General features: G+C 39.5%; 1 long non-coding RNA gene across 3 annotated transcripts in view; it reads right to left on the reverse strand.

The window, feature by feature from the left end:
* The window catches only part of LOC105375490 (uncharacterized), a 104,836-nt gene that overhangs the window by 24,995 nt on the left and 62,809 nt on the right, over positions 1-17,032 (reverse strand). The gene's annotated exons all lie outside the window — the stretch shown is intronic.

Raw genomic sequence — 17,032 nt, forward strand, 5'->3', positions numbered from 1 at the left:
GTGCACCTGTAGTCCCAGCTACTCGGGAGGCTGAGGCAGAGAATTGCTTGAAGCTGGGGGGCAGAGGTTGCAATAAGCCGAGATCGTGCCACTGCACTCCAGCCTGGGTGACAGAGTGGGACTCCATTAAAAAAAAAAACAAAAAAACAAAAAAAACCTGCCATCAGGCACAGTTTATCTGCAAAGTACATAGCTACATTGGAACCAACTAACAGTCTTACTAAACTAGTGTCATCATCAATACAGTCTTCAGGACCCAAAAGATATTAAAATCGGCACATATCACCTAATTTTTTCTATTAAAAATATCTATTTCTTCTAAAAAGATTAGCTCAAAATTGATTATGGACTTCCATGTAAACATAAAACTATAAAACTTTAGAAACACGAACATTGAAGAAAAACTTCAGGTCTAGCGCTAGGCAAAAAGTTCTCAGACTTGACACAAAAAAAGCATGATATATATAAGGAAAATGTGATAAATTGAACTTTATCCAGTTAAGAACTTTTGCTTTCAAAAGATAATGTGAAGAGGATTAAAAGTAGGCTACAGTCTGGGAGAAAATATTCGCAAATCACATACCTGACAAAAGGCTAGTATTTAAAATTGTAAAGAATTCTCCAAATTCTGTTTTTTAAAAATCTGTTAGAAAATGGGCAAAACCCATGAATGGATATTTCAATGAAAAGGACACACAGTGGTAAATAAGAGCATGAAAAAATGTTTGATGTTATTAGCCATCAGGAAAATGCAAATAAGAGCCAACCACAATGTGATATCACTACACACCTAATCAGAATGGCTACAGTGAAAAATGGTGGCAACATCAAATAATGCTAGTGAAAATGCAGGAAAAAAAATCACTCGTACATTGCTGGTGGAAATGTAGAATGGTTTGGTTACTCTGGAAAACAGTTTGGCAGTGTGGGAGGCTGAATCGTTCCCCCGCAAAGATGTCCATGTCCTAATCTCCTATACCTTTGAAAATGTTTCCTTATATGGCCAAAGAGACTTTGTAGATGTAATTAAGTTAAAATCTTGAGATGACAGGATTCTTCTGAATTATCTAGGTAGATATATAGGTGCAATATAATCACAAGAGTCCTTCTAAGAGGAAGGCAGGAGGTCAGAGAGAGGAGGAGACGCTACAAACCTGGCTTTACACATGGAGAAAGGAACCACAAACAGCCTCTAGAAGCTAAAGGAGGCAAGGAATAGATTCTCCCCTGGAGCCTCCAGAAGAAAAATTAGCCCCTGCTGACCCTGTAAGGCTCATTGCAGACTTCTGACCTCTAGACCTTCAAGAGAACAAATTTGTGTTTTCTTTAAGCCATCAAGTTTGCAGCAACAATGGGAAACTAATACAGGCAGGTTCTTATAAAACTAAATATACAACTCCCATACAGCACAGTAAGTGTACTCTTGGGCGTTTATCCCAGAGAAATGAAAAAAACTTATGTTTGCACAAATTGTTACAGCAGCCTTTTTTGTAATAGTCAAAGCTGCAAACAGTCCAGATGTCATTTAACAGGTGGGTTAAACAAACAGTAGTGCATACATATATCATACCTACATACCTTTTATTGCTGAGAATATTACTCAGCTATAAAAAGGAATGAACTATTGATACATGCAGCAATTTGAATGAACCTCAAGAAAATTATGCTGATGAAAAAGGCCAATCCCAAAAGCTTACAGACTGTATAATTCCATTTGTCATTCTTGAAATTACAAAATTATAGAAATGGATAACAGATTAGGAATAGAAGGTATGGCAGGAGGGAGAAAAGTTGGTGTGGTTATAAAAGATCAACATGAAGGATCCTTGCAGTGATGGAATTGTTCAGGATCTTGACTGCAGTGGTGGGTGTGTGAACCAACACGTGATAAAATCATAGAGAACAAAATACACACTTACACAAGTACAAATAAAACTTGAGAAATCTGAAAAAGAAAGGAAGGGCCAAGCACAATGGCTTGCACCTATAACCCCAGTGCTTTGAGATATCAGTGTGGGAGGATCATTTAAGGCCAGGAGTTTGAGACCAGCCTGGACAACATAGTGAGACCCCATCTCTACAAAAAAAAAATTTTTTTTAATTAGCCAGGTGTCATGGTACATGCCTATAGTCCTGGCTACTCAGGATACTGAGGCAGGATACTCAGGATACTGAGGCAAGATTGCTTGAGTCTGGGAGCTTGCGGCTACAGTGACCTGTGATTGCAACACCGCACTCCAGCCAGAGTGACCTAGTAAAACTTTGTCTCTTAAAAAAAAAAAATCAAAAATTAAAATTTAAAAAGGTAGGTTTTATCAATGTCAGTGTCTTGGTTGTGACATTGTACTATAGTTTTGCAGGATGCTACCATTGGAGAAAACTCAATAAAGGGTAAATGGGATTTCTCTATATTATTTCTTACAAATGTATGTGAATTTATAATTATCTCAAAATTTCAATTAAAAGAGACATTTATTAAAAAGGAAGTCCTGTCATTTGCAACAACCTAGATTAACCTGGAAGACATTGTGTTAAGTGAAATAAGCCAGACACAGATATGGCATGATCTCACCTATATGTGGAATCTAAAAAACATGAACTCACAAAAGCAGAGAGTAGAACTTCTTCCAACCAGAAGTTGGAAGAATGTTGGCCAAAATGAAGTAGGAGGTGGGACTCAACTCTAGGCAGGGCTTGGATCAAATTGAGGACTAGCTAAAACAGGGACAGGGTGGAAGCAGCTTACCATAAGACACACGCCTACCACAGTGCCATGTCAGTTTACCATTGCCACGGCAACACCTGGGAGTTACCACCCCTTTCCATGACAATGACCTGACAACCCAGAGGTTACCACCCCTTTCCTAGAAATTTCTGCATAATCTGCCCTTTAATTTACATATTCTAAAAAGCGGGTATAAACGCAGCATGTTCTCATTCGTAAGTGGGAGTTGAACAATGAGAACACATGGACACAGGGAGGGGAACATAACACACCAGGGCCTGTCATTGGGTGGGGGACTAGGGGAGCGATAGCATTAGGAGAAATACCTAATGTAGATGACAGGTTGATGGGTGCAGCAAACCACCATGGCACGTGTATACCTATGTAACAAACCTGAATGTTCTGCACATGTACCCCAGAACTTAAAGTGTAATTAAAAAAAAAAAAAAAGAAAGAAAGAACAAGTAGGGGAATAGGGGAAGGGAGACAAGAAAGGAAAAATGAGCAGTTTATGAGTGTGAGCAACTGGGGCTCAATCCCACTGGGGGCCTCTGGGAGACAGTGAAGAACATGACTCAGAGTTCTCCCACGTGAGGGGTGAGGGTGCTGGATTATTTATTATAATAAAGTTACAGGGAACAGAGAAAAAATTAAAAAATTAAAAATTAAAAGTGGGTATAAATGAGTGCAGAACTGCCTCTGAACTGCTACTCTGGGCACACTGACTGTGGGGTAGCCCTGTTGTGCAAAGAACAGTACCGCTGCTGCTGCCGCCGCCGCCGCCGCCGCACACTGCTGCTTCAATAAAAGTTGCTAGCAGTACCAGCTCATCCTTGAATTCTTTCCTGCACTTTCACCAGACAGTTTCTTATGCTGTCAACAATAGCCACAGGAACAAAGCCTAAAGGAAACTGGACTTAGCCAAAAATAATTCTGTCTGCAAGCTTATCGTCATTCAGTTAAAAGTTTAATATCCGCGGGGCGCGGTGGCTCACTCCTGTAATCCCAGCACTTTGGGAGGCCGAGGCAGGCAGATCACAAGGTCAGGAGTTTGAGACCAGCCTGGCCAACATGGTGAAACCCCGTCTCTACTAAAAATACAAAAGTTAGCCGGGCATAGTGGCATGTGCCTGTAATCCCAGCTACTCGGGAGGCTGAGGCAGGAGAATCGCTTGAACCCAGGAGGCAGAGGTAGAAGTGAGCCAAGATCGCACCATTGCACTCCAGCCTGGGTGACAGAGTGAGACTCCATCTTAGAAAAAAAAAAAGTTTAATATCCAGGTCGCCACTTTGTATAATGGTCTAAAGAACAGCAGCCTAGTGATACATGTAGATCAGCCTCTAACAACATGTGCTTTTGGTCACAGTATCAGGCAGTCACAATGAAAGAAATCAACTGCTTATCCTACTCTTGGTACTCTCAGAGCTGCACAAATCCCACAAAACCACTGGGCCCAAGGACCTGTAACACCTAGGCATGAGGCAAGAAGAATGGAACATATCACAGATCTATTGCATCTCTTAAGTCAGCATAAATTTTCAAAGGACACAATGGAGCCTGATGAAAGGGTAAATATGGCATTCTTAAGAGCCAGTGACTGTCTCCAAAAAAAAATATATTTGCTAACATTTAGCCAATTTATTCTTTACCATTAACTAGCCCCTCCCTGCACAAAACCCTGGTCCATTCCAAGACATTCATTATCAGACAATTTCACCCAACTGCTATCATGCTGCAGTTTGTTGCAAAAAGATGTACTGAAATGGCATCAACTCTCCTCCATTCTCATGATCAGATGAAATTTCCAGAGTGTAAGAAGCTATTCTCTGTATACAGAAAAGCTTTCATTATAATGAACTTGTGTTGACACTTTTTAAGGGGGAGAGGTAGCTGACAAAATTCATACATTAAATCAGAGCCTAAAGTATGGCATGAGAGGAGACTCCCAAACCCTGCTGTGTATTGTATCACAACACTGACATCTGTTGGCTACAAGTGTACTGAATCCTTCTTGTGTCCTGTCCCTTCTTTCTCTGCAGCTTTCATAGCTCCTTCTAAATCAAATCTCCTACTGACCCTAAACCATTTAATGTGTGTTATGTCCTTCATTCCTAAAAGATTACAAACTCATATTCATGGTTTCTCATGTTAGCCTTTCACTCTCTTAGGAAATAAGATTTTATGCCATGTTAATTATTTTCTAAACCAAAATCAAACACCCATATATGCAACAGCCCCATTAACTCAGGCACAAGCTACACAAATGAGAACTGTCATTTTACTGATAGAATTATAAAAGGTAACCTATGAGAAAGATTACACACACATGTTTTTTGAAACATCACATGTTCCCATGTAAATACTTCCTGCCATTCATGCTACTGACTACTTTCTCCTCCTTGGCTCTCCTCTAATTCTCCTATCTTTACCCCATCCTCCACGAAGTGTTCTCCTCTCTGTGATCTTACACTCCTTTTTTTCCTCTGCCTACTAACTCTGGGGATGCTGAAAAACCCCCTGTCCAGCCCTTCAGAGGTTCCCTTCCAACACTTAGTATCTAGAAGACTGCGTCTAAGCATATGGTTTAATTCGCAATATAATCTGAATGCACAAATCAATACCTGCAGTCCTGACCTTCCCTTCTCTCTCCTAGTCAATATCTCCTGATGATTCAATGGCTTAGAATAGGAGGATTGCCTTCACAGTCCCTTCTTTGATGCGATAATTTTATACCCTATCAATATCTATTGCTTCAACGGCTAAAAATTAAGAATTGTCTCCCTACTGAATCATCGCCCCTTTCCAACTCCCCTATTTCATCAAATGCAGCATAACCTTCCCAGCCTTGTCATGGATACTGAGGCTGGCTCCTCTCTTCCCCTGTACCCCTTCCTACAGTAAGAGTTCTAATCTCAAATCCCACTGCTTTTCACCTAGACAGAAATAATGGAGTGCTTATCTTCTTTCAAGAAACCAATCACGATGTACTGATGACTCCCAAATCCCCATCTCCACCCCAGACCTCTCACCTAACCGTCAGACCTACATAATCCAAACAGTTATTGGTCATCCTCTCTTGGATAACTTCAGGATATTTGAAATTCTACATATGCAGAATCAAATTTCTATTCTCCCCTTTCCCCTCCACACCTGCCTCCCTACCCCCCACACCTCCCCCATTCTTTATCTCTGTAAATGGAAGGACCAGTGATTTATTATCCAAGCTGGAAACCTGGGAGTCATCCACAACTCCTGCCTGTCCTTCAGATATCATATCCAATCAATCACAGAAGTTTAATGTGCCTGTTGATTCTGGCTCCTGAGTAACTTTATTTCATTCATGGCTCACCAACCCAACTGTGGCAGAGACTGCTGTCTGACCATCCAAGATTTGTGCTCCTCTTCTGTAGTATGGAATTGTTACATGGAAACCACTAGTGTCTGGGGTGGAGAAGGGAGCATATGAGTAGTTCTTGCTCATGGAGTGTAGCTGATGTTACTTGTACTATTTAGCACTAAAGAAGCAGATGGGCCTTCCTCAGGCTGTTTCTTCATCTACCAGCTGAATGGAGCAGACTCTCAAGTCTCAGAGGACCACAGGGCCATGAAATAGAAGAAGCCTGGGTCTGTGACTGAGTACTTAGAAGGCCATCTATAGGGAATACCCATGTTGGGCTGTGACACAGCATAAAACAAACTTTATCATGTCAAGCCATGGAGAAAGTTGGGCTTACCTGTTACAGTGCCTACAGCACTCTGACACTACCTAGTTCAGGCCACTATCATTCTCCCCCAGACAATTGCAGGTGGTCCCAGTTGATCTCTGTGCCTTTGGTCCTTATCTATGTCCTCCTCTAGACTGTAAATTCTAGGAAGGCAGAGGCTGGATCTGCCTTGTTCACAGTGTACCCCCATCATGCAGCACAGAGGCTAATACGCAATAAAAATAACCAGGATCTTTCTTCCCAATTACTCCCTAGCTCGTACCCTCCACTCTTGGATTTTACTACCTAATGTTTCTCTCCCTATCTCTTACCCCAACAGACACACACACGCACACACATGCACACACACACACATTCATGGCGGGTTGACTCGAGCCCTCCTTCTACTCCCAGTTGCTGGTGATTCCCTCACATCCCGCCCCCTCTCATTCCTTCCTATCAAGGCCCATAAATTTTTCCCTGACTTCATCCAAAACTGATTATTCTAACACTGAGTTATCCCATTGCCTTATGTACCTTGTCCTAGGCTTCTCCTTACATTTAAGATAAGTCCTTTGTGCCTGGTGTGTGTTCTTTCCTCCCTCACTGTATTACACACTCACGGAGGAAAGCATCAAGGTTCACTCTTTACAGAGCTCTTCTGTGAATGCTCAATAAATGTCACCCACTGAATCCAATACTTTGCTTTGTGTACTATTCTATCTGGCATCTTCTGGAGTACCTTTTCTTAAAATACTTCAATGTGAGGGATTTTAGTGGAAATTATACATAAATATAAAATGAAACACAGTATTTACAAAGAAAGGGATCTTTCTATTATCTCCTTTGTGGCTATGTAGTTTTCCACAAAGGTGAAATCGATTGTTAGAGCATGAAATAAGCAATTAGGTATACCGTATAATTATTATTAACAGTTAATAATAATTAATATTAATGACAATTAATAATAGTAATTGAATGTCTATTAAATCAGTGTCTAGCACATAGTAAATACTCAAAAACATCTCATTTAATTCCAACAACAACCCTGTAAAATGGTCTTCCTTCTGGCCTGAATTTTATCTGCCTTTTCCCGGGATTGCTTTCTTGAAAGAGCTGGTCACTGAGGAAGGGGGCTGCACTTGAGACATCTGAAAGGCTCACTGCCTAGGGCTTCCCAAGGTAAGAGTATGCCAGAAAACAGCTGAAGAAGAGGCACCTGGGATCAGCCTCAGAGAAGATGCATCCGTCTTTGTAGGGTAGCTGCTGGGGCAGCAAGGAAATCCTGGTAGTGTGAGACCTATTCCTAATACCGCCATCATCATCACCACTGCCATCCACCCAGTCCCTGTGCTCCACTCGTCACACAACTCTATACACCAGTGTCTGACATTTGGTCTTCCCAATGGTTATGGGTCATCTTAACCAAACAGAAGCTGTGCACCCCACATTCCTGGGATGTCGACACACAGGCCAGCCCAGGACCAAAATGTCTTCAAACTATTCAATTTAGCCCTCCTCAAAGAGATGTAACCTAGCTCTCAAGTAAATTTGTTAAAGCTTTCAGGCATGCCTCACCCTGTTTTTGAAAAATTATTTTTCATTTATGTGCTGTACATTATTACTTTGTGTGCAGGCATTATCTATATTGTACTGCACAAAAATAATTGATTACTCATGAGTGACAGAATAATTGGCACTACCCTGGTTATTCAGCTATTTTTATGCATTATAATTATCAGCTTCACTACACTAGACAGAATTTAATGTTCTTGAAAATTAATATTGTCTAAGGACTTGATACAAAAGAATGTAATGTTCTTAAATTAAAAACTTGTCACACACTGATAGAGTCTCAGATTGTTGGTTATTTATCAACATTTTGTTTTAATCATTTCAAACCCTTTATCAAATCGCAGAGCTTGTAGTCCAAACCAATTCAGTACAACTGAATTCTAGTAAGTTTACAATCTGAATTAGTGTTTGCAATGGTAATATTACATGTTTACAGCTGTACATGTATTGAAGACCTAGAATCTTTTGCCTACTGACCTGCATTATGACTGTGAGTTTCTTGAAACCAAAAAAAAAAAAATGGATGGGGGGGGGTTATTTATATAAGAGCCTAAGTGCCTCATGTGCTAAGGCTGCATGAAATATATTAAATAAGCAGAATAATGTACAACTATAATGCCTAAAAGCTAGAAGAAATTCTATCCTCTGCACTGTGGTCTAGCTGTCATGCAAGAGAGAGACCTTTCCAGGATAAAGGCATGGTATGGAGCTGGACCTGGCTCTTAGTATCATTCTACCCATGGTGGCAGGACCCAAATAGGATATCTGTAACTATGCTTTTGACTGTATAAAGGGAACCCTCCTTTAAAATGCCAAAATGCTAATTACTCATGAAACTTGGTTTTCTTTTCACCACTGTGTATAATTCCTATGTTTATTCCAGTCTCTGTCTTTCCTCTTGTATTGTCTACCTTTGTATTTTCAACAGCACAGGAATGTTTACATGTTTGTCATCGAGTGCCACTCACCAGGATGGGCCCACAGTCCCCCACTCCCTATTGCTCACCCCCTTGTTGCCTCCCAAACCATGTGCACTGCCATCTGCATGACAGGAATGACTATCCATTTCTCTTCTTTTTCATTTTACCTCATCCTTCCCTCCCAATCCCTTCTATCCTTTTTTTTTCTCAGCAGTTGGTCAAAATATAGAACTACAGCACTTCACTAAAGGGCATCCAAATAGGAAGAGAAGAAATCAAACTACCCCTGTTTGCAGATGACATTATTCTATATCTAGAAAACACCATGGTCTAAGCCCAAAAGCTCCTTCAGCTGACAAACAACTTCAGTAAAGGTGCAGGATACAAAAATCTATGTACAAAAATCACTAGCATTCCTGTACACCAACAACAGCCAAGCCGAGAGCCAAATTACAATCCCATTCACAATTGCCACAACCTAGGAATACAGCTAAGCAGGGAGGTGAAAGATCTCTACAAGAAGAGCTACCAAACTTACTGCTCAAAGAAATCAGAGATGACACAAACGCATGGAAAAACACTCCATGCTCATGGATAGAAAGAATCAATATCATTAAAATGGCCATACTGCCCAAAGCAATTTACAGATTCAATGCTATTCCTATCAAACTACCAACGACATTCTTCACAGAACTAGAAAAAAATTATTTTAAAATTTAGATGGAACCAGCTGGGCGTGGTGGCTCACGACTGTAATCCCAGCACTTTGGGAGGCGGAGGCGGGCAGATCAGGAGGTCAGGAGATCGAGACCATCCTGGCTAACACGGTGAAACCCCGTCTCTACTAAAAATACAAAAAATTAGCCAGGAGCGGTGGCGGGCGCCTGTAGTACCAGCTACTCGGGAGGCTGAGGCAGGAGAATGGCATGAACCCAGGAGGCGGAGCTTGCAGTGAGCCGAGATAGCGCCACTGCACTCCGGCCTGGGCAAAAGAGCGAGACTCCATATCAAAAAAAAAAAAAAAAAAAAAAAAAAAAAAAAAATTTTAGATGGAACCAAAAAAGAGCCCAAATATCCAAAGCAATCCTAAGCAAAAAGAACAAAGCTGCAGGAATCATGTTACCTGACTTCAAACTACACTACAGGGCCACAGTCACCAAAGCAGCATGGTACTGCTACAAAAACAGACAAATAGACCAAAAGAACGGAATAGAGAGCCCAGAAATAAGGCCGCACATCTACAGCCATCTGATCTTCAACAAAGCTGACAAAAACAAGCAATGGGGAAAAGACTCCTGTGCTGGGACAACTGACTAGCCATATGCAGAAGATTGAAACTGGACCCCTTCCTTGCACCAGATGCAAAAATCAACTCAAGATGGGTTAATGACTTAAATGTAAAACCCAAAACTATTAAAACTCTGGAAGACAAACTAGGCAATACATCCTGGACTTAGGAACTGGTAATGATTTCTTGACAAAGATGCCAAAAGCAATCACAACAAAAGCAAAAATTGACAAGTAAGATCTAATTAACCTTAAGAGCTTCTGCACAGAAAAAGAAACTATCCTTTGGGTATATACCCAGTAATGGGATTGCTGGGTCATATGGTATTTCTGGTTCTAGATCCTTGAGGAATGGCCACACTGTCTTCCACAATGGTTGAACTAATTTACACTCCCAACAGTGTGAAAGTGTTCCTATTTCTCCACATCCTCTCCAGCATCTATTGTTTCCTGACTTTTTAATGATCGCCATTCTAACTGGCGTGAGATGGTATCTCATTGTGGATTTGATTTGCATTCCTCTAATGACCAGTGATGATGAGCTTTTTTTCATATGTTTGTTGGCCACATAAATGTCTTCTTTTGAGAAGTGTCTGTTCATATCCTTCGCCCACTTTTTGATGGGGTTTTTTTTTCTTGTAAATTTGTTTAAATTCCTTGTAGATTCTGGATATTAGCCCTTCGTCAGATGGATAGATTGCAAACATTTTCTCCCATTCTGTAGGTTGCCTGTTCACTCTGATGATAGTTTCTTTTGCTGTGCAGAAGCTCTTTAGTTTAATTAGATCCCATTTGTCAATTTTGGCTTTTGTTGCCATTGCTTTTGGTGTTTTAGTCATGAAGTCTTTGCCCATGCCTATGTCCTGAATGGTATTGCCTAGGTTTCCTTCTTGGGTTTTTATGGTTTTAGGTCTTACATTTAAGTCATTAATCCATCTTGAGTTAATTTTTGTATAAGGTGTAAGGAAGGGGTCCAGTTTCAGTTTTCTGCATATGGCTAGCCAGTTTTCCCAATACCACTTATTAAATATGGAATCCTTTCCCCATTGCTTGTTTTTGTCAGGTTTGTCAAAGATCAGATGGTGTAGATGTGTGGCATTATTTCTGAGGCCTCTGTTCTGTTCCATTGGTCTATATGTCTGTTTTGGTACCAGTACCATGCTGTTTTGGTTACTGTAGCCTGGTAGCATAGTTTGAAGTCAGGTAGCATGATGCCCCCAGCTTTGCTCTTTTTGCTTAAAATTGTCTTGGCTGTATGAGCTCTTCTTTTATTCCATGTGAAATTTAAAGTAGTTTTTTCTAATTTGGTGAAGAAAATCAATGGTAGCTTGATGGGGATAGCATTGGATCTATAAATTACTTTGGGCAGTATGGCCACTTTCACGATATTAATTCTTCCTATCCATGAGCACAGAATGTTTTTCCATTTGTTTGTGTCCTCTCTTATTTCCTTGAGCAGTGGTGTGTAATTCTCCTTGAAGAGGTCCTTCACATCCCTTGTAAGTTTTATTCCTGGGTATATACCCAAAGGATTTATAAATCATTCTACTATTCTGACACATGCACACATATGTTTATTGCAGCACTATTCACAATAGCAAAGACTTGGAGCCAACCCAAATGCCCATCAATTATACACTGGATAAAGAAAATGTGGCACATATACAGCATGGAATACTATGCAGCCATAAAAAAGAGTGAGTTCATGTCCTTTGCAGGGACATGGATGAAGCTGGAAAGTGTCATTCTCAGCAAACTAACACAGGAACAGGAAACCAAACACCACATGTTCTCACTCGTAAGTAGGAGTTGAACAATGAGAACACATGGACACAGGCAGGGGAACATCACACACCAGGGCCTGTCAGAGGGGTGGGGGGCTAGGGGAGGGATAGCATTAGGAGAAATACCTAATGTAGATGACAGGTTGATGGGTGCAGCAAACCACCATGGCACGTGTATACCTATGTAATAAACCTGCACCTTCTGCACATGTATCCCAGAACTTAAAGTATAATTAAAAAAAAAAAAAAAAAGAAACTATCAACAGAGTAAACAGACAGCCTACAGAATGGGAGAAAATATTCACAAACTATACATCTGACAAAGGTCTAATATCCAGCATCTATAAGGAACTTAAACAAATTTACAAGATAAAAATAAACAACCCCATTAAAAAGTGTGCAAAGAACATGAACAGACACTTTTCAAAAGAACACATTCAACTAAAAAGCATATGAAAAAAATTTCAGTATCACTTGTCATTAGAGAAATGTAAATCAAAACCACAATGAGATACCATCTCATACCAGGCAGAATAACTATTAATAAAAAGTCAAAAAATAACAGATGCTGGCAAGGTTGCAGAGAAAGGGAACACTTACATTCTATTGGTGGAAATGTAAATTAGTTCAACCATTGTGGAAAGCAGTGTTGTGGTTTCTCAAAGAGCTAAAAACGGAGCTACCATTCGACCCAGCAATCCCATTACTGGGTATATACCAAAGGTATATAAGTGATTCTGTCATAAAGACACATCCACGCATATGTTCTTTGCAGCACTATTCACAATAGCAAAGACATGGAATCAACCTAAATGCCCATCAATGGCAGACTGGATAAAGAAAACGTACATATATACTCTGGAATACTACATAGCCATAAAAAATAATGAGATCATGTCCTTTCAGGAACATGGAACATGGAGCTGGAGGCCATCATCCTTAGCAAACTAACACAGGAACAGAAAACCAAATACCACATGCTCTCATTTATAAGTGGGAGCTAAATGATGAAAATACATGGATAAATGAGAGAAACAACAGACACTGGGGCCTACTTGAGGGTGGAGGGTGGGAGGAGGGAGAGGAACAGGAAAAACAACTATTGGTTATGAGGCTTAGTACCTGGGTGACGAGATAATCTGTACCATAAGCCCCTGTGACACAAGTTTACCTATACGACAAACCTGCAAGTGTACCCCTGAACCTAACATAAAAGTTAAAAGAATAATAATAAAGTACTTAATACTTAAGTACTCAGTTATTTAAATTGCCTGTTCCTAATGCAAGAACTAGATTGGTGGACTCTTTCTTTTTTCAATCTTATCTTATTTTAAATGATAATTAGGTTGATTCCATATCTCTGCTATTGTGAGTAGTGCTGCAATGAATATACGAGTTTGTGTGTCTTTTTGGTAGGACAATTTATTTTCCTTTGGGTATATATCCAGTAATGGAATTACTGGGTCAAATGGATGTTCTGTTTCAAGCTCTTTGAGAAATTTCCAAACTGCTTTCTATAGTAGCTGAACTAATTTACATTCCCACCAACAGTGTATAAGCATTCCCTTTTCTCTGCAACCTCATCAACAGCTGTTTTTTTTTTCACTTTTTAATGGCCATTCTGACTTGCCCATCAATGGTGGAGTGGATAAAGAAAATGTGGTCCATATGTACCATGGACTACTACATAGCCATAAAAAAGAATAAAAGCATGTCCTTTGCAGCAACATGGATGCACCTGGAGGCCATTATCCTAAGCCAATTAATACAGAAACAGAAGAACAAATACCACATGTTCTCATTTATAAGTGGGAGCTAAACATTGAGTACACACAGACATAAAGATGGCAACAATACACACTGGGGACTACTGGAGGGGGGAGAGGGGAGGGGGCTGAGTGTTGAAAAACTATCTATTGGGTGCTCTGCTCACTATGAGGGTAACGGGATCATTCATATACCAAACCTCGGCAACAATTTATTCATGTAACAAACCTGCCCATGTACACCCTGAACCAAAAATAAAAGTTGAAAAAATAAAATAAAATAATTTGAAAAAAATGAGTCTTTTGTAGGAAAACATAATAAAATGATAAAGTTACATTTTATTTCTGTGGCTTCTGAATTTCTTTTTTCTTCCCTGTGAATTAGCAAAAGCTCCTTGATAGAAATTATTTCCCACCCCAACATAACGGTTTAATAGAAGTGAATCAAAGAATCAGAACATTTACTATTATTGGCTTTAGAAAAATTACAGTTAAAAAAGACAAAGCTAGGATCAATCATAAATTTGGAGTCAAAATTCTATCTTTTGAACATCAGATTAATAGATTAACATAATTGCAAGTAATTGACTATATTGTTTAATATACATCAGTTTAGTAATCAAAGTGATATCTGCCAGCATGATTAACTCCCATAAATTTGCATAGAGGTGCTGGGCACGGTGGCTCACGCCTGTAATCCCAGCACTTTGGGAGGCCAAGGCAGGAGGATTGCCTGAGGTCAGGAGTTTGAGATCAGCCTGGCCAAGATGGCAAAACCCCGTCTCTACTAAAAATACAAAAATTAGCTGGCGCTGTGGCATGCGCCTGTAATCCCAGCTACTTGAGAGGCTGAGGCAGGAGAATCGCTTGAACCTGGGAGGTGGAGGTTGCAGTGAAAAGAGATCACGCCACTGCACTCCAGCCTGGGCAACAGAATGAGACTCTGTCTCAAAAAAAAAAAAAAAGTGTGAATAGAGAAAATGCTCATTACCTCATATCATATGCAAAAACTAGCTCAAAATGGATTATAGACCTAAATGTAAGAATTAAAACTACAAAACTCTTAGAAGAAAACACAAGAATAAATATTTGTGACTTTAGGTAATATTTTCTTGGACATTACTTTAAAAGTGCAAATGACAAAAGAAAAATATAGATAAATTGGATCTCATCAATATTAAAAACTTTGTGCTTTAAAGGACACTATCAAGAAAGTGAAAAGACAACCCACGGAATGGGAGAAATATTTGCAAATCATGTAACTGGTAAGGCTCTAGTATCCAGAATATATAAAGAACTCTCAGAAGTGAACCCAATTAACAATGGGCAAATGATTTGAATAGATATAGCTCCAAAGATTATATACAAATAGCAATAAGCACAAGAAAATACACTCAACATAAACTGTATTTTCCTAATAAAAGGAAAATACAAATAAAAACGTTTATGAGATACCACTTCACATCCAGTAGGATGGTTACAATAAAAAAGATAGATGATAACAAGTGTTGGCAAGGATACAGAAAAATTGGAACCTTCATACGTTGCTGGTGGGAATGTAAAATGGTGCAGCCACTGTGGAAAACACTTTGAAAGCTCTTCAAAAGCTAAACACAGAGTTACATATTACCCAGCTATTCCAATCCTAGATATATAGATATATATACAAAAAAAATTGAAAACACACATCCACACAAAAACTTGTACATGAATGTTCATAGCAGCACTATTCACAATAGCTAAAAAGTGGAAATAACCCAAAAATGTCCATTGATTGATAAATACATAAATAAAATGTGGTATATTCAATGGAATATTATTCAGCTTTAAAAAGCAAATGATTCGTGCTGCAACATAGGTAAACCTTGAAAATATGCTAAGTGAAAGAAGCCAGACACGAAAGAACCTGCATATTATGTGATTCCATTTACACAAAATGTCCAGAATAGACAAATTCATAGAGACAGAAAGTAGTTGCCAGGGGATAGGGAAGCCGGGTAATGGAAACTGACTGCTAATGGGTGTGGAGTTTCTTTTTGGAGCAATTAAAATACTCTGGAATTAGAAATCAGTGATGGTTGCACAACTCCATGAATATATTAAAAACAACTGGATTGTATACTTTAAAAGTTTGAACATTATAGTATGTCAATATTATCTCAAAAAAGCTGTTATTTCTCTGCAAATGCTTGTCGATAGGAAGAGGATTGTGTTCTAATCAGTGAAGGAGTCTCCAGAAAGAGATGGGAGTGGGGCTCCTAACCCCTGGAGGGGTTAGAATTTCATTCCTCTCAGGGCACCAGGTTCTTGACTCTGGCCTTCCCCTCTCTTTCTCTTTTTAATTCAAAAAATCAGCGCTGTGTTGATGTTACTTTAGGTAAATTAACTTCTTCTGACCTCAGTTTTCTTTTCTGAAGTATTCACCCAGGGGAGTCGTAACCTAGATATTAAGCACACACAATGGACTCAGCAGGGCTACTATTTTAATCTCAGCTCATCCAGCTGGGAGACTCTGGTCATGTTATTTAACCTTGCCAGCCTCACTTATGCTCACTGTAAAGTGACGGATAATTATACCCACCTCACACATTGTAGAGAATGAAACAATCTACAGAGCACTAATTGGGGTCTTGACAGGGGGTGAACACTCTGTAATTATAGCCATTATCTCAGAGGCCCCTTCCAGTTCTAAAATGTTCTGAGACGTCAAATAGAATTATATTTAAGTCATATATATTACAAAAATAGTAATCAACGTAGAATAATAGCTTATGATGACATAATGCAGAACTTAATAAGGAAATGTGGAAGAAGTCTTCTGATCATTTTGCACAAACACTTCCATTACGACAGTGTGTACTCGGTACTTTTTTCCATCTTTTGCCAGTTGCCAGATTTCTCAGATGAGAAAGAATGCCTAATAAGATTTGAGGTGTAGTTCAGTTGTCCCTGAATACACAAACATTTTCTTTCTATAATGCAGCTAAATTCTGGCCACGACTCTCTTATTGCTCCTGTGGGTCACAAAATTGGTGGATGTGCACATGTTAGTCTGTGGCAAGTCACAGCAACAGACACTGTTGTCTCTGCCCTTTATGTTCCGAGTCAGACAGAAGACTCTTTGATGATGGCCTAGCAGGTTTTTTTCCAGCTAATTTTGATGCCTGTGTGCTTGAGATGCTATTTCTTACATCATCAAGCAAACATTACTGGCATAATTTGAAAAATTACAAAATTACAGGGATGTCTCTATTTACTGTTTTGACAGAC

Source organism: Homo sapiens, chromosome 7 (assembly GCF_000001405.40).
Source record: "Homo sapiens chromosome 7, GRCh38.p14 Primary Assembly".
NCBI lineage: Eukaryota > Metazoa > Chordata > Mammalia > Primates > Hominidae > Homo > Homo sapiens.